This window comes from Homo sapiens, chromosome 10 (assembly GCF_000001405.40).
Source record: "Homo sapiens chromosome 10, GRCh38.p14 Primary Assembly".
Taxonomy (NCBI): domain Eukaryota; kingdom Metazoa; phylum Chordata; class Mammalia; order Primates; family Hominidae; genus Homo; species Homo sapiens.
This window is the reverse complement of record NC_000010.11, coordinates 124439426-124461007: the sequence shown is the minus strand read 5'-3', so window position 1 is coordinate 124461007 and position 21582 is coordinate 124439426. Positions and strand designations below refer to the sequence as shown.

General features: G+C 49.0%; 1 protein-coding gene and 1 pseudogene across 1 annotated transcript, besides 3 other annotated features; both read left to right on the top strand.

Moving 5' to 3' along the window:
- Positions 8992-9548: an enhancer, noted in NCBI's record as "NANOG-H3K27ac hESC enhancer chr10:126140029-126140585 (GRCh37/hg19 assembly coordinates)". NCBI's record gives its function as "activates a minimal SCP1, AML or CMV promoter by ChIP-STARR-seq in primed H9 embryonic stem cells {active_cell/tissue: H9 hESC(primed)}" and the evidence as "EXISTENCE:reporter gene assay evidence [ECO:0000049][PMID:30033119]".
- Positions 9549-10104: an enhancer, noted in NCBI's record as "NANOG-H3K27ac hESC enhancer chr10:126139473-126140028 (GRCh37/hg19 assembly coordinates)". NCBI's record gives its function as "activates a minimal SCP1, AML or CMV promoter by ChIP-STARR-seq in primed H9 embryonic stem cells {active_cell/tissue: H9 hESC(primed)}" and the evidence as "EXISTENCE:reporter gene assay evidence [ECO:0000049][PMID:30033119]".
- NKX1-2 (NK1 homeobox 2) lies at positions 10973-15765 on the top strand. The gene is made up of 2 exons (NM_001146340.3): positions 10973-11278; positions 12861-15765. Exons 1-2 carry the CDS (start codon positions 11065-11067, stop codon positions 13577-13579), a joined length of 933 nt encoding a protein of 310 aa, NP_001139812.1. The 5' UTR covers positions 10973-11064; the 3' UTR covers positions 13580-15765.
- Positions 13421-14288: an enhancer, noted in NCBI's record as "H3K27ac-H3K4me1 hESC enhancer chr10:126135289-126136156 (GRCh37/hg19 assembly coordinates)". NCBI's record gives its function as "activates a minimal SCP1, AML or CMV promoter by ChIP-STARR-seq in primed H9 embryonic stem cells {active_cell/tissue: H9 hESC(primed)}" and the evidence as "EXISTENCE:reporter gene assay evidence [ECO:0000049][PMID:30033119]".
- On the top strand, positions 16765-17224 carry OATP1 (ornithine aminotransferase pseudogene 1; annotated as a pseudogene).

Below are 21582 nucleotides of genomic sequence, written 5' to 3'. Positions count from 1 at the left end.
CACTCGATGCTACATTATTTTTGCAATAAATACACATTGATATTAAAAGGGAGGAGTTTCCTCAATGGCCCCTCGGAACCTTTCAAGTTATTAAATAGAAACGAGAACACTTTACTTCTGGTCCAACATAGCTTTGAGCTTTCAAAGAAGAGAGGATCATATTATTTCACCATTTCTTTTCAGGCTCTTGATTCACAGAAAGGATGAGGAATTCGTTGAAATGTTATGGGGTTCAATGAATTGTGTATATTTTGTTGACATGCTTACTAGGGGAGCTGTTTACAAGTGAAATAAAATACAGTTCCTACCCTTTGGGATTTCCACTAATGGGGTTGGGGAGTAGTATACCTTATATAAGGGTTCTTAGTCGCAGACAATAGACACCACTCCAGCTAGAGGGGTTTTGTTTACATGAGGTGAAGGAGCTTACAGATGACGGGTCTAAGTCCTACACAGCCAGGAGCCATGCAGCCACGAGAAACACTTAATTTTACTACTCCATTGGGACCACTGCCCCATCACTTAGTGCAGCCCCCAGCATAGCTGCCCCCAAAAGAACAAAACATATCCACCACTGTGCCCTCCACCTGTGGCCACCCACTCACTTTCACTGTGTCTGGCTTGGTGGAACCTAGCCCACGCTGCAAAGGAGTCTGGGAAATGCAGTTTTTAGTGTTCCAGGGGCTGAGTGAGTCAGTTTGGAGAATCTGCTAGGAACATCATGAACCGTACACGTATTGAGACCCTACTCTGTGCAGTGGGCACAAAAAAGTTCTAGGGTGTGATCCTTGCCTTCCAGGATCAAGACTGGGCAGAGAACAATGGAAGACCTTCACGACTGCTGACCAAATGTGTGCCAAGTGGCAATGAGTGACACAGACACAGTCAAGAGGATGACCTCTGCAGGCCTAGGAGGGCAGCTGTGGCTTCTGGGCAGGGGCAGCCTGAAATGGACCTTGGAGAATGGCTGGGCTTTAGCTTCATGCCAAGGAGGAGGAAAAGGGGTGCTTCTGCCAGTGGTGTGAGCCTACCCATAGTTGTTTCTTTTCAGTCAGCTCTGTGGGTACTCTTGGGCAAGTCCCTTTTCATTTCTACGACTACAGTAGACAGAATAGTGCCCCCTTGAGATGTCCACCTCCCAATCCCCACAACCTCTAAATATATTACCTGACATGGCAAAAGGGACTTAGATCTTGCAGAGCCTATGCTCCTGTAGGGAGATTATCCTGGATGGTCCAGGTGGGCCCAGTATAATGACATGAGTCCTCATAAGGGAAAGAGGGAAGCAGGAGAGAGTCAGAGTCAGAGAAGGAGGTGTGACAGCAGAAGCAGAGGTCAGAGAGAGAGGTGTGAAGATACCGTGCTACTGGCCTTGAATACAAAGGGGCCATGAGCCAAGAAATGCAGGTGGCCTCTGGAAGCTAAAAAAGGCAAAGAATTGGATTCTCCCCTAGAGCCTCCAGAAGGAATGCAGCCCTGCTGGTACTTCAAGTTTAGGACTTCTTACCTCCAGAACTATAATAATAAATCTGTTGTTTTAAGCCACTAAGTATATGGTAATTTCTTGCAGTAGTGACAAGAAACAAATACAGGGATCCAGGTCCCTCACCTGAAAAATGTGGCAAGTCTCTAAGTGTGGGCCACTGATAGGCTAAAACTTGATCTGAAAATTCCAGGCTTTTCTTGGGATGCAATGAGTGTAGGGCATTGTCTATGTTAGGGTTGCATTTGGCTACATGTAACAGAAACCCAGCCATAGTTGCCCAACCAAATCAGATTTTACTTTTCCTCATATATCAAGAAGCCAAGAGGGAGGAAATCCTGGATGGGACAACAGCTCCCAGGACCATCAGGCTGCCTCCTGCTTTCTGCTCCACCACTCTCTCAGCATGTGGCCTGCTCCTCACGCTAGCAAGATTCCTGCTCCACCCGAGGCATCATGACTGCATTTCAGGCAGGAAGGAGGGGAAAGAAAAGAAAAAAGGGCATGTGACAGCTGAGTCTGACCCTTTATACCCAGAAAGCAAAAGCTTTCCCAGAACCCTGATCCAATGGACTCTCATTTGCATCTTTTGGGCCAGAGCTAGCCAGGTGGCACATGAACACCATAGTGTGCCAGGAAGCATACACCACTGACTGAGCTTTCAGCCTGTTATAGCAAATCTACAACTCATGTCTGAATTTCAGCTCAACTATGAATCTATCAACCATCTATTGCTATACTAGACATATGCCTCATCCTTTCAGATTTGCTTGTCATAGTCAGGACTCTTCGGCTGCCAGTGACAGAAGCCAAATTTCAAATGGCTTCAATTTAAAGGAATTTATTGGCTCGCACAACCAGATAGTCTAGCAATGGACAGCGTCAGGCATGGCTGGTTATCAGCTCTGGGCTCACAGAGTCTCCGGTACACCACCTGGTGAGGATCCTTTTCCTCAACTTGGTCTGGCTGTTCCAGAAAGAACTCTGATTGGCTCTCTTGGGTCAGTGTCCCCCATTGTCTGTGTTCCAATGGAAGTGATACTGTGATGTTCCAGCCTGACTGGTGCCCTTACCAGGGCTGGAGGTGGGACACTTGCCTATAGTCCCACCATGACCAGAAGGAAAGGGAGAGGACAAGCCCTCCAGCAAAAAGCAGGGCGCATTAGCCGGACGTGGCAGCACATACGTGAAGTCCCAGCTACTCCAAAGGCTGGGGCAAGAAGATCACTTGAAGCTGGGCGTGGTGGCTCACGCCTGTAATCCCAGCACTTTGGGAGGCTGAGGCGGGTGGATCACGAGGTCAGAAGATCAAGACCAGCCTGACCAACATGGTGAAACCCCCATCTCCACTAAAAATACAAAAATTAGTCAGGCGTGGTGGCACACGCCTGTAATCCCAGCTGCTCAGGAGTCTGAGGCAGGAGAATCGCTTGAACCCGGGAGGCGGAGGTTGCACTGAGCCAAGATCACGCCACTGCACTCCAGCCTGGGCGACAGAGCGAGACTCCATCTCAAAAAAAAAAAAGAAGATCACTTGAACCTAGGAGTTGGAGGCTATAGTGTACATGACTGCAACTGCAACTGTGAATGGCCACTGTATCCTAGCCTAGGCAATATAGCAAGACTTCTCTAAAAAAAAAAAAAGAGAGAGAAAAGAAAGCAAAAAAGCAGGGCACTGTGAAAGAGGAATAAGGAAGCAACATGGTATAGGCAAAAGTAGCAGGTGCCCACCAGTCACCAAGACCTTTCTTATTATCAAATCCCATCTCCCTGGAAAGTGAGACCAGACCAAGTGAGGGCCATATGAGCCAAAGAATCTTCTGTTTTATTGAGATGGGCTATAGTGGAAAAAAAAATCAGAGCACCATTAATAACAGAAATGCTTCTCAGGCCGGGCACAGTGGCTCACACCTTGGGAGGCCAAGGCGGGCGGATTACCTGAGGTCAGGAGTTCGAGACCAGTCTGGCCAACACAGGGAAACATCGTCTCTACTAAAAATGTAAAAATTAGCTGGGCGTGGCGGCACAGGCCTATTGTCCCAGCTACTCGGGAGGTTGAGGCAGGAGAATCACTTCAACCTGGGAGGCAGAGGTTGCAGTGAGCCAAGATTGCGCCACTGTGCTCCAGCCTGGGCAACAGAGCGAGACTCTGTCTCAAAGAAAGAAAGAAAGAGAGAGAGAGAGAGAGGAAGGGAGGGAGGGAGGGAGAGAGAGAGAGAGAGAGAGAGAGAGAGAGAGGGAGAGAGAGAAAGAAAGAAAAAGAAAGAAAGAAAGAAAGAAAGAAAGAAAGAAAGAAAGAAAGAAAAAGAAAGAAAGAAAGAAAGAAATGCTTCTCAAACTTTAATGTGCATTAGAATCACCTGGAAGGCTTTTTAAAACAGGTTTAGATTCAGGAGGTCTGGGTGGCCCTAGGAACCTGGAAGATGGCTGTCAGTTGATGTGGGCTATTTTCTGGAGTCCTACACATGGCCTCTGCATGTGGCTTGTGTATCTCACAGCATGACAGCAAGAGTCAAAGAGGAAATGTCTCCAGGGCAAGTGTTCCCAGGGAACAAAGTGGAGGCTGCAGGGCTTCCTGTGATTTAGCTTTGGAAGTCACAGAGTCACTTCAGCCATGTTGTACTGGTCACCCAGGGCCAGGCCAGGCTCAGTGTGGGAGTGGATGACACAGGGGCATGAGCACTAAGCAGCATGGTTGATTAGGCGTGGCCATTTTTTGAGGCTAGATACCGCAACAAGTATACCAGTGTCAGAAACACCACACGGGGTTAAATTCATGGTGGTTCTACGCCTGCATTTTTATTTTCTGTTCCCTTCCCTTCCTCCCTTCCTTCCTTCCTTCCTTTCTTCCTTCCTTCCTTCCTTCCTTTCTGAGACAGGGTCTTGTACTATGACCCAGACTGGAGTGCAGTGGCATGACTCATAGCTCACTGCAGCCTCAAACTCCTGGGCTCAAGTATCCTCTCGCCTCAGCCTCCCAAAGTGCAGAGATTATAGGTGTGAACCACTGTGCCTGGCCCCTGCATTTTTCTTTATGAAAAGCATGGTACCCAGCATGGATGACCTGAATAAAAACATAAGCTTGTTCCACAGATGCTCAGCATGGGAGTCAGACCCTTTATGAACCTCTATCCGTACCTAAATATTTCTTGATCCGATTTTTGTCTTCAGCCTATATGGTCTCTCATGGGTTTCCAATCCATCTTAGTCAAACTGTGGAGCTTTGGGTTTGTGTTACTGGGCCACCATTTATTGCTTTCGACTCTTCAACCTACCAAACACCAAGGTACTGGTGGGCACAGGGATGCACGCTCTGCCCTCCCTGACTTTAAGACAATCCAAGGACCAGAATCTGTATGCCAGGCAGTGTGATAAAGGCTGTGCCTGTCAGGGTTCCTTGACTCTGGCTAATTGAATTCCAAAATGCAGAGGGGAAGAGAAGGTTGGGAAGAGTGTAGGCAATTTACAAAATCAAAGGAAATGCTGAACAACCAGACCTGGGCAAGTACTGGAACCATCAGCGTCAAGAGTGGGAAATAACAGATTATTTAGTTTTGGGCACCACTGCCACAATGAAGCGGTGTCACTCTGCTTCAGATACTCCCGGGAGAGAGGCCAGTAGGACTCTACTGCAGGGGCTCACTCTTACCTCCCGGCCAGAAGAAGGTTGGGGGGCCTGATTGGCAGTCCCATCACTACCACATACAAGGGTGGGGGCCCAGGGGGATCTCATCAAAATCAGCTACAGACACCAGAAAAGGGGGAGTGGATCCTCAGATCAGGCAAAACCAAGAGATGTCCATCAAGGGCTATGATGGCAGCGTGCCCCAGAAACAATGTGGGAAGGAGTGCTCCAGTCCGCGTGGGGTAAGTCAGGGAAGCCCTCAAGAAGAAATAGTATTGTAGGGATGCAGTGAGGCTCCCAGGGAACCCGGAATGGAACAACCAGCATCAGGAAGAAGTCAGCAACAGTGGCAGCAGCTGGAACCCACCTGTCTGCCTGTCTCTCGTGGCTTCTCCGCTCTGCTCTGCACTTGTTTTTGTTGTTTGTTTGTTTGTTTTTGAGACGGAGTTTCATTCTTGTTGCCCAGGCTGGAGTGCAATGGTGTGATCTCGGCTCACTGCAACCTCCGCCTCCCAGGTTCAAGTGATTCTCCTGCCTCAGCCTTCCCAGTAGCTGGGATTACAGGCGCCTGCCACCACACCTGGGTAATTTTTGTATTTTCAGTAGAGACAGGGTTTCGCCATGTTGACCAGGGTGGTCTTGAACTGCTGACTTCAGGTGTTCTGCCCGCCTCGGCCTCCCAAAGTGCTGGGATTACAGATGTAAGCCACCACGTCCAGCCTGCACACTTGTTTTTGACTCTCCATGTCCCTGCTGAGTCTCTGCATCTCCATAACTTCTGTGAGCATGTGGTCCTCAGCGGCCACCCGTCTCCATTTTCCTTGCCCATTAAGCTCAAGCACCCACCAGTGGCAGGGAGCATGCCCTAAGATGAGGGAGTTGATTTTTTTTAACTTTGGTTTGGGGTCAGGTGGGAAGGCTATATTTTCAACTCAGCTTTCACAAGTTAGTCTATGAGGTGTTTTTTTTTTTTTTTTTTTTTTGCCGGGGGGAATACTTGCTGTGCTTGGCAGCCAGAGTTCAAAGCTCTGGTGGGAAATGGTAAATGCTAGCCTTTAATTGTAAATGACCTCTCCAGCACCAAGGGAGATAGAGTCCAGTAAACAAACAATGGATTCTGCTATCTGTGGCTTCCTTCTAAAACCTAGTGCTTACCCTCTCCCATATTACAGACCAATTTGAGTAGAAGAAGCACATCTTGGGGAAGGTGGCTGAGGTACTGGGAAAAGGGGTTACCCACAGGCTGTCTGGCAGTTGAGGTGTCCCTCTTTGTCATCAAGCTGTGTCTTATGAAGCTGTCTCTTTGGCACATATATCCTACCCTGGGGGCTGGCTCAAAACGCAGGGTTTTACCTGGAGAATTTCAGTTGCATTTTACTTTAGGAACATAAGATTTTATCTAAAATGCTTTAACACGGCTCATAATATTGCCCCCTCCCCCCCACTCCCTCTGCATAAACTGCAAATTCTTTCCATTGTTAACACTATTCATGGCACTCAGCGGCTCTTCAAGGCTGTGCTGGAATTATAGGCACCTTTGTTTGTGGAATACCTTAGGAAGCTTGGCACCATTGATTTGCATCAGTGCCTCCGGAATAGCCTTTGCCTTCTCCTTAAAGATACTATCTAAACTGTGAAATTCATTAAATAGCCCCAGAAATGGATCAGGTTATTTAACACAACATCCCTAATGGTGCAATATCTCAGCTGTCTGCACGGATAGTGAACATTGTCTTGGATAGTGTTATCAGCCCAGGACACCCGCTATGAATATTGATCCCGAGCTTGTTACAGGCATCACTTGCTATCAGGACAGGTCAGGGTTGGAACCCACCTAGCATCAAAGCAATTTAAAGATAGCACTCAGGCGGAATTTTAATGCCCAGGCTGAAAAAAAAAAAATCAACTCTATGCACAGAGGGAAGGTGGCTTGCTGGATCTGGATATGTTATATAGGAATAGCGTGGGTATAAATACACATGTGAGGATGTTAGTGAGCCAAACACATGGCCAAGTTGTACTGAAAAGGATGCTCACTGCCTCCTGGTCTTTTACAAAACAGGTGGCCAGAAAAAAAAATTACCTAGGACCTCCTCCTCCACTATCCCCCACGTTGAAGAAAGTATCCTGTTCTTTGGTTAGCAGGTTTCTCTTTAAGTTGGATGAGTAAGAGAGGGCATTTCTATCCCTTCAGTGTTGATGGGAGACCCAGCGAAGTTTCTTGTGTGCCATCTATTGCCTGCAGCCAAGTACTAAGCATGAGCATTCACATTACCTTGTGCTACAATGAACACACAGACCAGAAATATCTGGCCGGGCACAATGGCTCATGCCTGTAATCCCAGCACTTTGGGAGGCCAAGGCGGGCAGATCACTTGAGGCTAGGAGTTCGACACTAGCTTGGTCAACATGGTGAAATCCTGTCTCTGTTAAAAACACAAAAAATTAGGCCAGGCACGGTAGCTCACGCCTGTAATCCCAGCACTTTGGGAGGCCGAGGCAAGTGGATCACAAGGTCAGTAGTTCGAGACCAGCCTGGCTAACATGGTGAAACCCTGTCTCTACTAAAAATATAAAAATTAGCTGGGCGCAGGAGTGTATGCCTGTAGTCTCAACTACTCGGGAGGCTGAGGCAGGAGAATCGCTTGAACCCAGGAGGCAGAGGTTGCAGTGAGCTGAGATCACACCACTGCACTCCAGCCTGGGTGACAGAGTGACACTCTGTATCAAAAAAAAAAAAAAAAAAATTTAAGCCGTGCGTGGTGGCTCACACCTGTAATCCCAGCACTTTGGGAGGCCAAGGCTGGTGGATCACATGAGGTCAGGAGTTCAAGACCAGCCTGGCCAACATGGTGAAACTCTGTCTCTACTAAAAATACAAAAATTAGCCAGGTGTGGTTGTGCGTACCTGTAATCTCAGCTACTGGGGAGGCTGAGGCAGGAGAATCGCTTAACCCCAGAAGGCGGAGGTTGCAGTGAGCCGAGATCATGCCATTGTACTCCAACCTGAGAGACAGAGCAGGACTCTGTCTGAAACAAAACAAAACAAAAGAAAACATTAGCATGGCATGGTGGCACGTGCCTGTAATCCCAGCTACTCGCCAGCTACTCAGGAGGCTGAGGCATGAGAATTGCTTAAATCTGGGAGTTGAAGGCTGCAGTGAGCTGAGATCGCGCCACTGCACTCCATCCTGGACAACAGAGCGAGACCCTATCTCAAAAAAAAAAAAAAATCTGAAAAATAAGGGGCAAGCAAAACAGAAAACCACTAAGAGAAGGAGTTTGTAAGGATTCACAGGTTTAAGGAATGTGGCCTCTGCCATTCTTGGCTTTCTCTCCAATTTGTTGCTTCTTCCTTTTTCGGCTCCTTCCCTATATTTAACATCTGTGAACCTCAAGGGAAAGATGATTCATATCATTTAAACAAAATTTTTTGAGGTAATCTATGGAGTACAGTGGAAATGATCCGGGATTGGGTTACTCTTGGCTGTCTGGGCCTCCCTTGTCCCTCTGGTTTGGGGTATAGGGTGGCCCCTGGAATGCCCACCATCCTGTGAAAATAAAGAGTCTCAAGGTTTCTCATAGGAGAATGAATAAGAGGGACAGTGGGAGGCCACATACTTCCATCTGGGGCTAACTTAAGGAAACCTATTCCTAGCTATCCTGAGAACCTCAGCATTTAAAAATATAAACATGGGCCAGGCACGATGGCTCATGCCTGTAATCTCAGCACTTTGAGAACCCAAGGTGGGCGGATCACTTGAGATCATGAGTTTGAGACCAGCCTGGCCAACATGGTGAAAACCTGTATCTACTAATAATACAAAAATTAGCCGGGCACAGTGGCGCGCACCTATAATCCCAGCTACTTGGGAGGCTGAGGCAGGAGAATTGCTTGAACCCAGGAGGCAGAGGTTGCACAGTGAGCCAAGATCGCGCCACTGCACTCCAGCCTGGGTGACAGAGAGACTCTGTCTCAAAAAAAAAAAAAGTAAACATGGTGGGAAAATGTAGAAGGGGCGGCTAGGATCAAAAGGGTGAAGGGGGAGAAACAAAAAGGAAGATTAGAAAAAAAAATCGAGAACTGGGTGAGAAAGCATTATCAAAACAGAAAACAAAGTACCCCATCTGTATTTCAGGAAGGCTCTGTGATTTGCAGTCCAGGTTGTCGGGCGCCACTTTTTAGTTTCAGGGCCATCTTTTCTTTGGGATTTTCACATTCCCTTCGATGGGAGGTGGTCCAGTGGACTTGGGAAGGGCACTTCCTTTCCTGAGCTTTAAAAGCACAATCCGTCTTCACTTTAGGACTGGAGCTGGCTTGATTTCCGCAGGCTTTAAAGTCCGCAGGGAATACAGTGACCACCTCTGGGAGGGGCAGCAAGGTTTGAATGAGAAAAGCTACAAGGAGCTGGCTTCTAAGGATGCCTCTTCAATAACAGATGGGATTAGCAGCCCCCAGCACTTTAATGAGAAGGTTTCTCCTCCTCTTCCTACTCCTTACCTGCTCAGACAATATTAATTGCCAAGTCATTGTTTGGAAACCCTATGGGGCGGAGAAGAAAGGAACGGCAGAGTCAGAGGTGGTTCTGGGCCAAACACTAGGAGAAGCCTCAGAATTTGCCTGAAACAAATGCTTAGTGCTCACAGACTGCTGTGTGCTTTCCAAGAGACAAAAGAAGAAATTCAGGATTGGTGTGGCCAGTGGAAGCTTCTCCGACCACTGGTGATCACTTTCCCAGGGGACTTGGTGGGGCAGATGAGGGCCATTTCAACTGTCTCTCTTCTCGGACCTTAAATTCAAACCAGACAGGCATTTCTGAATCTTCTGCTTCTGGGGCTGAGAGGGAATGGGGGTCAGAGATGCAACCTAATTCTCAGATCCAATTTCTGTTGCAAATGATCGAATTTGTGACTCTGGAGAAGGCCTGACGTTTGTCCATTGAGGGCTGTGCTCCGGGTCACAGCAAACCAGGGCAGACACCCTCAGCCATCTCACTTGGCTCTGTGCCTGAAGCCACCAAGGTTTCCAAAGCGGCTGGAATCCCGGTGGGGGCTCACCACCTCTCCAAACCTCTTGCTGGCCTCTGGCTTGGCTTTGGAGTGGAAGCAAAAGACTGAGAGTCCGGGATTTTCTCCCTCCGTTTCTGAGACAGCAGGATGTACTAAAAAAGCACTGACTGGTCCAGTAGAAGACCGAGGTCCAAACCCAGACTCTGTCACCAACTCACAGTGACCCTGGGGAAATCTTTTCTTACCTTTGAACCTCGATTTCCTCATCTTTAAAACGGGGACAGTGGTCTGTGCCACGTGACGCCCATCTCACAGGGATGCTCAAATAATCAAAAGAGATCGTGCAAGCCTCAGGGCTTTGTGAACGCTAAACTGTGAGAACGTGAGGGATTTTACCTCCGAGGTAACCGGGTCTGAAGCTATTACAGTAATTCACTGGCGGGGAAGGAGATGCGCTGAGCATTGCCTGGGAGTAAGCAGTCCTGGCCTCAGTTGCATCCCCAAGTCTAAGGCGGGTGCACCGGAGAAAGGGAACAAACTCAAGTCACAGAGGTGTGTGTGTCGGGGTGAGGGATCCCCGGGATGGAAGCCTCCCTCGCGCCCTCGGAGAGTCCCAGAGGGTTGGGCGGAGGCGCGCGGAGACGACAACACTGTCCCCGCGGTCGCGCGCACCGGGCGCGCGGAGGCTTCCCCGAGCCCAGGCAAGCGGCCGCGGCACAGCGCCTGATAGTCCCGAGGCTGGCCCGGGCTGCGCCGGTGCCAATCGGCGCGCAGCCCCCCGCGGCGCTCTCCCCGCCCCGCCTCCCCGCCCCCCTCCCCAGCTTCACTTGGCAGCGCGGACCCGGCTCCTGGCTGGAAAGCTACCGCCAAGCCACAGCCGAAGGCAAGCCCGAGCGGCGCCATCCCCAACCCCGCGCCGCCGACCGCCGGCCCGTGGGCGACGGGCATGCTGGCATGGCAGGACGGCGGGGCCAAGGCGGCTCCCTCCCACCACAAGATTTCTTTCTCTGTCCTGGACATCCTGGACCCACAGAAATTCACCCGCGCAGCGCTCCCTGCCGTGCGCCCGGCTCCCCGGGAAGCCAGGAAAAGTTTGGCGGAGGTCGAAGCGGGGAAAGATGCCAGCTCCAGGGACCCTGTCCGACAGCTGGAGACCCCTGGTAAGATGCAAGGCGGCCCCGGCCCCAGGAGGCCTCAGCCCCAACAATGCGGAGTGTATGGGGGAACAGCCGGGCCCGGTGAGTGGCCCTTAACAGCGTCTTCCTCAGAGAGAAGGCGCACGGGACCGGGTGCGAAGTGTAGCCCCCGCCTCGGACTTGGATAGAGGCAGAGAGGAGGCTCCCCGCATTACAGGGCAGGGATTTGCCGCATCCCTGCTCACCCGCCAAGCTCACCCGCACCACAGTTCTGATGCTCGCGGTGGAAACTTACCTGGCGCCTGTCTTGCCAGGCTTACTCATTTATCGGGCATTTAATGCGCTTGCCACGTGCTAGGACCTGGGCTAAGGGCTGGGATAAAGGTGATGAAAACTTCGGAACCTGAGAGATGGACAGCATCATTAACATCACCTCCATTTTATGGATGGGGGAGCTGACGCTAAGGCTTGCGCCGGGGGTCTTCGTGAGTAGCGAGGTCAGGTGCCACCCGGAGACGCCTGCGGGGCTGGGCTGCCCCAGGCGCTCAAGCTCCCCAGACTCAACTGTTAACTGGGACTGGGCTGGGGGCGGGGCTCGGATGGAGTGTTGGGAAGCTTTCGGTACTTTCTTCTCGAAACCCTTTCTGAATTACTCCCAACGCTGGCGGACACCTGATGAAGGGGTTAGGAAAGTTTGTGGCTGGAAGGAAGGACGGAAGACAGCAGGAGTCCTGCTGGGATCAGACAGGGAAAGGCGGCTCCCTGGAGGGTCAGAGGCTCAGGTCATCGGGGGAGGCTGGATGCCGCGCAGCCCCCTGCTCCCCTCCCCAAGTTTGGCGGTGATTGCCTGGGGCCCGGGGCGCCTCTGGCGGCCGCACTTGGGCCCAGGCAGGCGGCCTGGTAATTGTTCGGATCTTCTCTCCGAGGGGCCGCCCTCCCTTCCCCCACCCTCGTGATCGATATTCTATTACTGGCGCCTGCATATCTCCTGCCCGCAGCTTGCAGGTACCGACTTCAAACCCCCTTTCCCTGTCTGATCCTAATATTGTTCGATTAAAACTTACCTTTAATAGATGACATCTATCGATCCGGCCCCGCACAAATCTGAAACTCTATTAACACGGCGGGAGAGAGAAGATGGGAAAGGGAATTTCACTTTAAAGCGGGGGCGGGGGTGGGGTGGGGCAGAGAGCTTAATAACTTCTTTTTTAATTGCTGGGAGTCCTAGATCAAAATAGGCTTCTAGGGTCTGGGGAAGGCACAGCCCTAAAAGCGTTTGACATCTAGATGTCTTAATACAATGATCCTACCCCCCAGTATGGTTACCCAATAATGTCACTATTTTTTCTTAATGCGGGGTGTCATTCATTCATTTGGCGTACATTTCTTGGACGCCTACTTGATGGCAGATTTGTAAAGGGCAAGAGGACACCATTCCCCTAAACCCGCTGGCGAGGATGTGTAGTCCGGCCTAAGGGGAGCGCGATGTGGGGACAGGAGCAGCACCCAGAGTTGGGTTGGGGGGACAGCTGCTTGCTCTAGGGAGGACGAGGACGAGGTTTGGGGACCTGGAGAGGCTTCTGTTCACCGACCCCTTCTCCCCTAGATGCTGCGGGCCCAGGCGCCGGCCAGGCGTCCCCCCTGGAGGGTTCCGAGGCGGAAGAGGAGGAGGATGCGGAGGATCCGAGGAGGCCGCGGCTGCGGGAGCGGGCTGCGCGCTTGCTGCCGGGCCTAGCGCGCTCACCTGACGCCCCGGCCGGGGCATTGGCGTCTGGGGAGCCCTGCGAGGACGGCGGGGGCGGCCCTGTGAGGTCCCCCCCGGGATCCCCCGGCTCCCCGCGTCCCAGGCGCCGGCGCCTGGAGCCCAACTGCGCCAAGCCGCGGCGCGCGCGCACCGCCTTCACCTACGAGCAGCTGGTGGCCTTGGAGAACAAGTTCCGGGCCACGCGCTACCTGTCAGTGTGCGAGCGCCTGAACCTCGCGCTGTCTCTCAGCCTCACCGAGACGCAGGTCAAAATCTGGTTCCAGAATCGCAGGACCAAGTGGAAGAAGCAGAACCCGGGTGCCGACGGCGCGGCGCAGGTGGGGGGTGGCGCGCCCCAGCCAGGGGCGGCGGGGGGCGGCGGCGGCGGCGGCTCGGGGGGCAGTCCTGGCCCTCCCGGCACCGGCGCTCTGCACTTCCAGACTTTCCCCTCCTACTCCGCGGCCAATGTCCTCTTCCCGTCCGCCGCCTCCTTCCCGCTGACGGCTGCCGCCCCCGGGAGCCCTTTCGCGCCGTTCCTTGGGCCTTCCTACCTGACCCCCTTCTACGCCCCGCGTCTATGAATCCGGAGCCCCCTGGCCCCTCTTTCGCGGGATTCACGAGGGATTGGCATCGTCGTGTGCCCTCGGCTCCTCCACCGGGGGTGCAGGTGCGCGGGTGTCAGCGCACCCCTGCCCGCCGCGCGCACCCGCGATCCTCGCGGGCCACCAAGGGGTCAGGGATCTGCCGTCCTTCAAAGTGTCCGGGGACGGAGGCTGACCTCAAGCCTTGCCGTTTCTGGACCTTGCTGTTCACTTTGGGTCAGGTTTAATTCAGTTCAGGGGCTAGTTTTTGAGGGTCTGGGTGTTCGGCGCGGGGCTAACCAAGATGCCAGGAGGGAAATACAGGGAGCAGAGACGCCCTGGCTGCCAGCTGCTGGCGGCTAGGATGGAACCTTTAAAGGTGCTGGCTCATCAGAGGGTGAGAAACAGTCTCTGTTCACAACTGACAGCTTCCCCTCCTCGTGCTCGATGGTTCAGCCCAAACCCAGAGAGTTCTTCCAAATCCTGAACGAGGCTGGGGAGAGCTTGGTCCTGGAGCACAGACGGCCGCTCTGAAACGGACTATTTTTAAAATGCATAAAACTCCACATTTCTAGATCTTTACTTAAGATTCGGACTGGAACACAATACTTGTTCCAAATAACCTCCCCAGGCTATTCCTGAGAGAGGGGGTACCTTGGTTTTTGGAGTAGGCCAGAAGTTTGTGGTAGGAAAGGTGACTGATTTGCAGCTAGACTCACCTGCTAAAGTAGACACGGGTCTGTTGCACTGCAGGTTTTGAGAACAGCCTGGACCAAACCACACAGTGACCCCAAAGGCATAAAAATGATAATGAAGGCAGCGATGGCTCAACTAATATCATGAAGTCTATGCATGAGGCTGCCTACTTTGATTTGCAGTAGTTGATACTTTAAAACTTCAGTCCTGGCTTATCTGCCTGTCCCAGGGATTCCTGGGCTCCCAATAGTGAGCCAGGATGGGGAAGAGCTAGCTCCATCAGCACACACTACATGTGGACAGTTGGACTGGACTGTTTTTTAAAAGCACAAACTCAACATTTTTAGATCTTCGTCTAGGATTCTGACTTGAAAACAATTCTTGTTACAAACAGACTCTTTATGGTGGTGAACAAGCAGAGATTGTAAGGGCCCATGAAAGCAATACTTGGGTGTGAAGAGCCGTCATATTCCTAATGGATTCACCTCCAGGAATCTGATACATGGACATGCATTTTAACTGCTGCTTTTATTACCTCCCTTAAAAAATTAGTTCTGTGAAATTCCCTTGCCACTTTTGCTTGGAATACATTTCCTTTAGTTTTCTACCTAATATAATCTTGTAGCCCACGTCTCAGAAACCCAGAGGTCCCCAGTTGTGTCATGTATGTTTCATTCTCACTTTTGATTACTTGAGGCCAGCCGAGATCTGTGTGGATACCATATTCCTTGCTATTTTTTGGTAGCCTGTGCTACTAACAATCAAATTTAATGGTCAATGGCTTCAAAGTAAAGCACCCTGTTTGGTATTATGGATTACATTCCATGACTATGATCTTGAAATATCTAGTTCTGTTATCAGGAATGATAGAAAATATTCCCCATTTCTCCTAAATTAAGTGAAGACTTCATGGTTCATGTGACTCTCATAATATTTGATAGTATGTATTATTTAATTACTTAATATCCACTAATTAGACTCTTTTCCTTCTAAAGAAGAATGTCCCCCAAACAACACATTGTAACTTTCTAAAAGACAGTTGGTGCCAGATGAGATTAAAAATGCAGTTACTCTACTAGATAATATTCACCTTACACTTCGGTAAACACTCCTTTAATAACTATTTGTTGGTTTCTCAAAAGCAATATCCCATATTAAACAGACAATTCAAATGTGACAATTCCTCTGTAACAAAGAAGCTGAATTCTGTAATAAATGGGAAACATTTCATTCCAGTCTTCTCAGGTACCAGAATCATGGACTTCAGTAGAAGAGAGGGAATAGGGAGAGAGGTGGGAGGCTGATCTGTTCGTGGCCCAGCACGGTGCTGTAATTCCTGACCCTTCTGGTTTCCACAGATCATTGCAGAGTAATGCTTGAAGCGTGTGACTTTGGACTTCTGCTGCTTTAAAAGGCCCAGTGGCTTTCCAACCAAATCCTTAGACTCAATCTATTGGTGTGTTTGTCTAATAAATTCTTTTTGTAGTAAATTTATTTTTATTTCTTGTCTCATTATTCCTTGTTCTCTATTAGCAATGCTTTCAAATAATAAGTTTATAATTATCAGAAGGTAATTATAAAGTATGTATGTATCTCTCCTTCTCCCAATAATCCCTAAATAGGGAATATTTCTACACTAACACTCCTTTCTTCAGCCATTTCAGACCCAAGCTAGATATACCCAGAGTGGCTACATTTGCACGCAGGATATACAGACACACATTTCAGGCCATTTTCTTGCAGAAGCAAAACATCTTCACAGAATCTGAATTAGTGGCTGCTAATTATATCAACACCAACCTATTAGATTTCTAGGACATTAACTCTTAGCCTTAACCTTACAAGTTCTTAATACCCCAAAACAGCCTGGTAGGTAACTTTTCAGACTTTGGCCATCTGCTGGTCATAGATTTCTGATGTTAAATATTACCATTTTAGATCCCTGTTTGAAACCACATAGCCGAGGAGCTGTATTTATAGGAGTGACTAGAGAGCGTTTCTTATATTGAGAGAACCACAATCCAATTTATGGGCAGAAATTAATTTAGTATGCTTATCTTTATAGTAATAACTTTTTTTCTTTGAGACAGGGTCTTGCTCTGTCACTCAGGCTGGAGTACAGTGGCGCAATCAAGGCTCACTGAAGCCTCAACCTCCCAGGCTCAAATGAGCCTCCCACCTCAGCCTTCTGAGTAGCTGGGACCACAGGCACATGCTGCTATGTTTGGCTAATTTTTTTTTTTTTTGTAGAGACAGGGTCTGGTTGCCTAGTCTGGGCTTAACCTCAAGCAATTCTGCCATTTTAGCCTCCAAAGTAGCTGGCACTACAAGGTCCTGCCACCACACCTGGCTAATTTTTAAATTTTTTAATTTCTTTTTTTTTTGTAGATATGAGATCTCGCTATGTTGCCCAGGCTGGTTTCAAACCCCTGAGCTCAAGCAATCCAGTAGCCTCAGCCTCCCAAGTAATGGGATTACAGGCATAAGCCAAGATTCTCACTCTTAAAGCATTCTCCTTTCTTTGGACAGATCTGTGGTTTTTGTTATTGAAGGACACAGTCTCACTCTGTCACCCAGGCTGGAGTGCAGTGGCATGATCTCAGTTCACTGCAACCTCCACCTCCTAGGTTCAAACAATTCTTCTGCCTCAGCCTCCTGAGTAGCTGGGACTACAGGCGTGCGCCACCATGCCTGGCTAATTTTTGTATTTTTAGTAGAGACGGGGGTTCACCATGTTGGTCAGGCTGGTCCTGAACTCCCGACCTCAAGTGATCCACCAGGGCTTCCAAAGTGTTGGGATTACAGGCGTGAGCCACCGTGCCACGCCGGGCCTGATTACACTTTTGAAAGGGAATCTAAGTGTGGTGCAAACAATTACCATCCTTTACCTGTAGCCCCTGGAGAGAGGAAAAGGTACGTTTTAAATTAATCTGTCTCCCCCCTTTTCTGCTTGAAACCTTTTGTGAAAATTAGTTGCTTTTATATTTTCTCAATATACATTTTTCTGCATACATGTAATATGTGTTTTGCAGATGCAGTTGACATATTTACTGAGTGGCTAGTGTTGCTGTGTCAGGTGCTATGAGGGCCGCAAGATGAACCACTGAGTCATGTGGATCTCACCAACAGGGAATGCAAGAAAAATCAGGAAAGTACTGTCATAGGTATGTTATTTTTTTTCTTTTAACTTTTATTTTGGCATAATTTTAGACTTAAGAAAAGTTGTCACGCCTGTAATCCCAGCACTTTGGGAGGCCGAGGTGGGTGGATCACGAGGTCAACAGTTCGAGACCAGACTGACCAACATGGTAAAACCCCGTCTCTACTAAAAATGAGAGAACTAGCTGGGCATGGAGGCGCGCGTCTGTAATCCTAGCTACTCGGGAGGCTGGGGCAGGAGAATCGCTTGAACCTGGGAGGCAGAGGTTGCAGTGAGCCGAGATTGTGCCACTGCACTCCAGCCTGGGCGACAGGGCAAGACTCTGCCTCAAAAAAGAAAAGAAAAGAAAAGAAAAGTTGTAACAATAGTACTAAAAATTTCCTTTTATTGGCCAGGCGTGGTGGCTCACGCCTGTAATCCTAGGTCTCTGGGAGGCCGAGATGGGTGGATCACTAGGTCAGGTGTTTGAGACCAGCCTGGCCAACATGGTGAAACCCCATCTCTACTAAAAAATACAAAAATTTGCCGGGCATGGTGGTGCGCACCTGTAGTCCTAGCTACTTGGGAGACTGAGGCAGGAGAATCGCTGGAACCCAGGAGGCAGAGGTTACAGTGAGCCGAGATCGCGCCACTGGACTCCAGCCTGGGCAACAGAGTGAGACTCCATCTCAAAAATAAATAAATAAATAAATAAAATAAATTTCCTTTTACTTTTTACCCAGATTTTCCAAGTGCTAGCATTTTACTGCTTTGGTCTTAGTATGTTCACTCCCTTCTCCCCTCCCATGCCTGCATATTGTACATTGTTTTCTGAACTGTTTGAGAGGAAGTTGCAGACATGATGTCTCTTTACCCATAAATATTTAGTGTGTTTTTCCTAAAGCACAATGACTTTCTCTTTTATAACCACAGAGTAATTATAAAAATCAAGAACCCCACACTGGTATGGCACCATTACTTAATCTAGAGACCTAATCCAGATTTCATTTGTTCTCCTTTACAACAAAAGGAAAACCTCTGATGTGTTGCATTGCAGTCCTATTTAGGCTTCCTTAGCCCAGGACAGTTCCTCAGCCTCTGTTGGTCGTCTTGGTCTTCTTTCCCTTTGTATTAAGTACCTTGTGGGGACAGAGTGTAAAACTCTGTAAATATCCAATTACTCATCAATTATTTCTTTTACTTTTAGAGACAGGGTCTCGCTCTGTCACCCAGGCTGGAGTGCAGTGGCACAATCATGGCTCACTGCAGCCTTGACATCCTGAGCTCAAGCGATCCTCCCACCTCAGCCTCCCAAGTAGCTGGGACTACAGGTGTGCGCCACTACAACGGGCTCATTTTTTTTTTTTGTCGAGACGGAGTTTCGTTCTTATTGCCCAGGCTGGATTGCAATGGTGCAATCTCTGCTCGCTGCAACATTCACCTCCTGGGTTCAAGCGATTCTCCTGCCTCAGCCTCCCGAGTAGCTGGGATTACAGATGCCCACCACCACGCCCAGCTAATTTTTTGTATTTTTAGTAGAGACAGGGTTTTATCATGTTGGCCAGGCTGGTCTCAAACTCCTGACCTCGGGTGATCCACCAGCCTCGGCCTCCCAAAGTGCTGGGATTACAGCCGTGAGCCACTGTGCCTGGCTAATTGTCTTTTTTTAAGATGGGGTCTCACTATGTTGCCCAGTCTGTTCTCAAACTCCCAGGCTCAAGCAATCCTCCCACCTCGGCTTCCCAATGTGCTGAGATTATAGACATGAGCAACCATGTCTGCCTCAGAAATAACTCCTAAGAACTGATTTAACTAGATTTTAGAATTATGAGTAGGGTAACACAAAAATTTTTTCAATAAATGCTGTTTGGAATACTCTTTTTGGTTAAGATACTACAATTCTATATACCTGTTAGCCATTTGGGTGATCTATTTTGATGAAGTGCCTCTGCCACTAGCTAATTCCCACATTTATTGGTAAAGTAAATGAAGTCTTTGATACATCTGGAAGCGTAATTCCATCATGTGGTCAGTTGAAACACCTGACTCTTAGGGGAATTGGGCAGACACAGATTCAGTGAAAGAAAAATGGAGAAAGGCCAGATGCTGTGGCTTATGCCTGTCATGTCATCACTTTGGGATGAGGCGGGCAGGTCACTTGAACTCAGGAGTTTGAGACCAGCCTGGCAACATGGCAAAACCCCATCTCTACTAAAAATATAAAAATTAGTCAGGTGTGGTGGTGCACACATGCCTATAGTCCCAGCTACTTGGGGAGCTGAGGTAGGAGGATTGCTTGAGCCCAGGAGGTCCAGGCTGTAGGGAGCCATGATCCTACCACTGCACTATAGCCTGGGCAACAGAGGGAGACCCTGTCTCAAAAACAAAAACGAAAAACAAGAAACAGAACTTGGCCAGCACCCCGGTGTCCCTTCTGATAATTACCCTCCCCAGGAGCAACCATGACTCTGACTTCAAACAGCTGAGAGAAGTTGTGTCTCCTTTTTTCCTGTAATTATAAAAACAGAATCATATGGTGTGATCTCTCGTGTCTGGATTATTTTGCTCAACACTATGAGTTTCATCCATATTGTTTTGCATAGTTGTAGATTTTTCATTCCTATTACTGTTGGTATTTTACGGTACTATGAATGCCACAACTTGTTTGTCTTTTGATAGGTAACTGAGTTCTTTCCATTTTGGGGCTACTATGACTAAACATTCTTGAGCATGTCTTTTAGTAAATAAACCTTTGGTAAAATATCTAGGCCGGGCTTGGTGGCTCACGCCTGTAATCCCAGCACCTTGGGAGGCTGAGGTGGGCGGATCATATGAGGTTAAGAGTTCAAGCCTGGCCAACATGGTGAAACCCAGTCTCTACTAAGAATATAAAAATTAGCTGGGCGTGGTGGCAGGCACCTGTAATCCCAGCTACTCAGGAGGCTGAGGCAGGAGAATTGCTTGAACCCTGGAGGCAGACATTGCAGTGAGCTGAGATCATTCCATTGCATTCCAGCCTGGGGACAAGAGCGAGACTCCGTCTCAAAAAAAAAAAAAAAAAAAGAAAAAAGAAAAATCTGAAAGTGGGACTACTGGTTATGCAGATGTGTAGCCATAGTACATATTGCCAAACAGTTTTTTTTTGTTTTTTTTTTTTTTTTGAGATGAAGTCTTGCTCTGTCACCCAGGCTGGAGTGTAGTGGCACAATCTCAGCTCACTGCAACCTCTGCCTCCTGGGTTCAAGTGATTCTCCTGCCTCAGCCTCCCAAGTAGTTGGGAATACAGGCATGCAACTCCGCACCCAGCTAATTCTTTTTTTTTTTTTTTTGTATTATTAGTAGAGACGGGGTTTTACCATGTTGGCCAGGATGGTCTCAATCTCCTGACATCGTGATCCACCCGCCTCAGCCTCCCAAAGTGCTGGGATTACAGGCATGGACCACCACACCTGGCCTGCACTGTGGTTTTAATTTTCATTTCCTCATGAGTCATGGTGTTGACTGTGTCTGCCTGTTGGCCATTTGGGTATGTATTTTGGTGAAGTGCCTGGTCAAATCTTTTGTCCATTGGCTAAGCCCCACATTTGTTGGTTAAGTAAAGTGATCCTTAAAGAGGAAGTTACTTTCCCCAGGTCACCTGCATTACTCCCAAAGGCACTGAGACTTAGTGAGATGCAGTGACTTGTCTAAGGTCACACACATGGTAAGAAAAAGAGAAGAGATGGCCAGGTGCGGTGACTCAAGCCTGTAATCCTAGCATTTTAGGAGGCCGAGATGGGTGGATCACTTGAGCCCAGAAGTTTGAGACCGTCCTGGGCAACATGACAACACCCTGTGTCTGTGAAGAACTACAAAAAATTAGCTGGCCGTGGTGGCCTGTGCCAGGCTGAGGTGGGAGGATCACCTGAGCCTGGGGAGGTGGAGGCTGTAGTTAGCCATGATTGCACCACTGCACTCTAGCCTGGGCAACAGAGTGAGACCCTATCTCAAAAGAAAAATAAATAAATAAATAAAAGAGAAGAGCCTGAAATCTGGGCCCGATGACTCCAGGGTAATTTTTTTTTTTTTTTTTTTTTTTTGAGATGGAGTCTCATGTTGCCAGGCTGGAGTGCAGTGGCATGATCTCGGCTCACTGCAACCTCTGCCTCCTGGGTTCAAGTAATTCCCC

What these genes read in the sequence shown, in the direction of transcription:
- NKX1-2 (NM_001146340.3), top strand. Translation starts at nt 11,065, where the DNA reads ATGCTGGCATGGCAGGACGGCGGGGCCAAGGCGGCTCCCTCCCACCAC. An exon ending in CCGACAGCTGGAGACCCCTG is followed by an intron (nt 11,279 to 12,860) that starts GTAAGATGCAAG and finishes CTTCTCCCCTAG; the next exon opens with ATGCTGCGGGCCCAGGCGCC.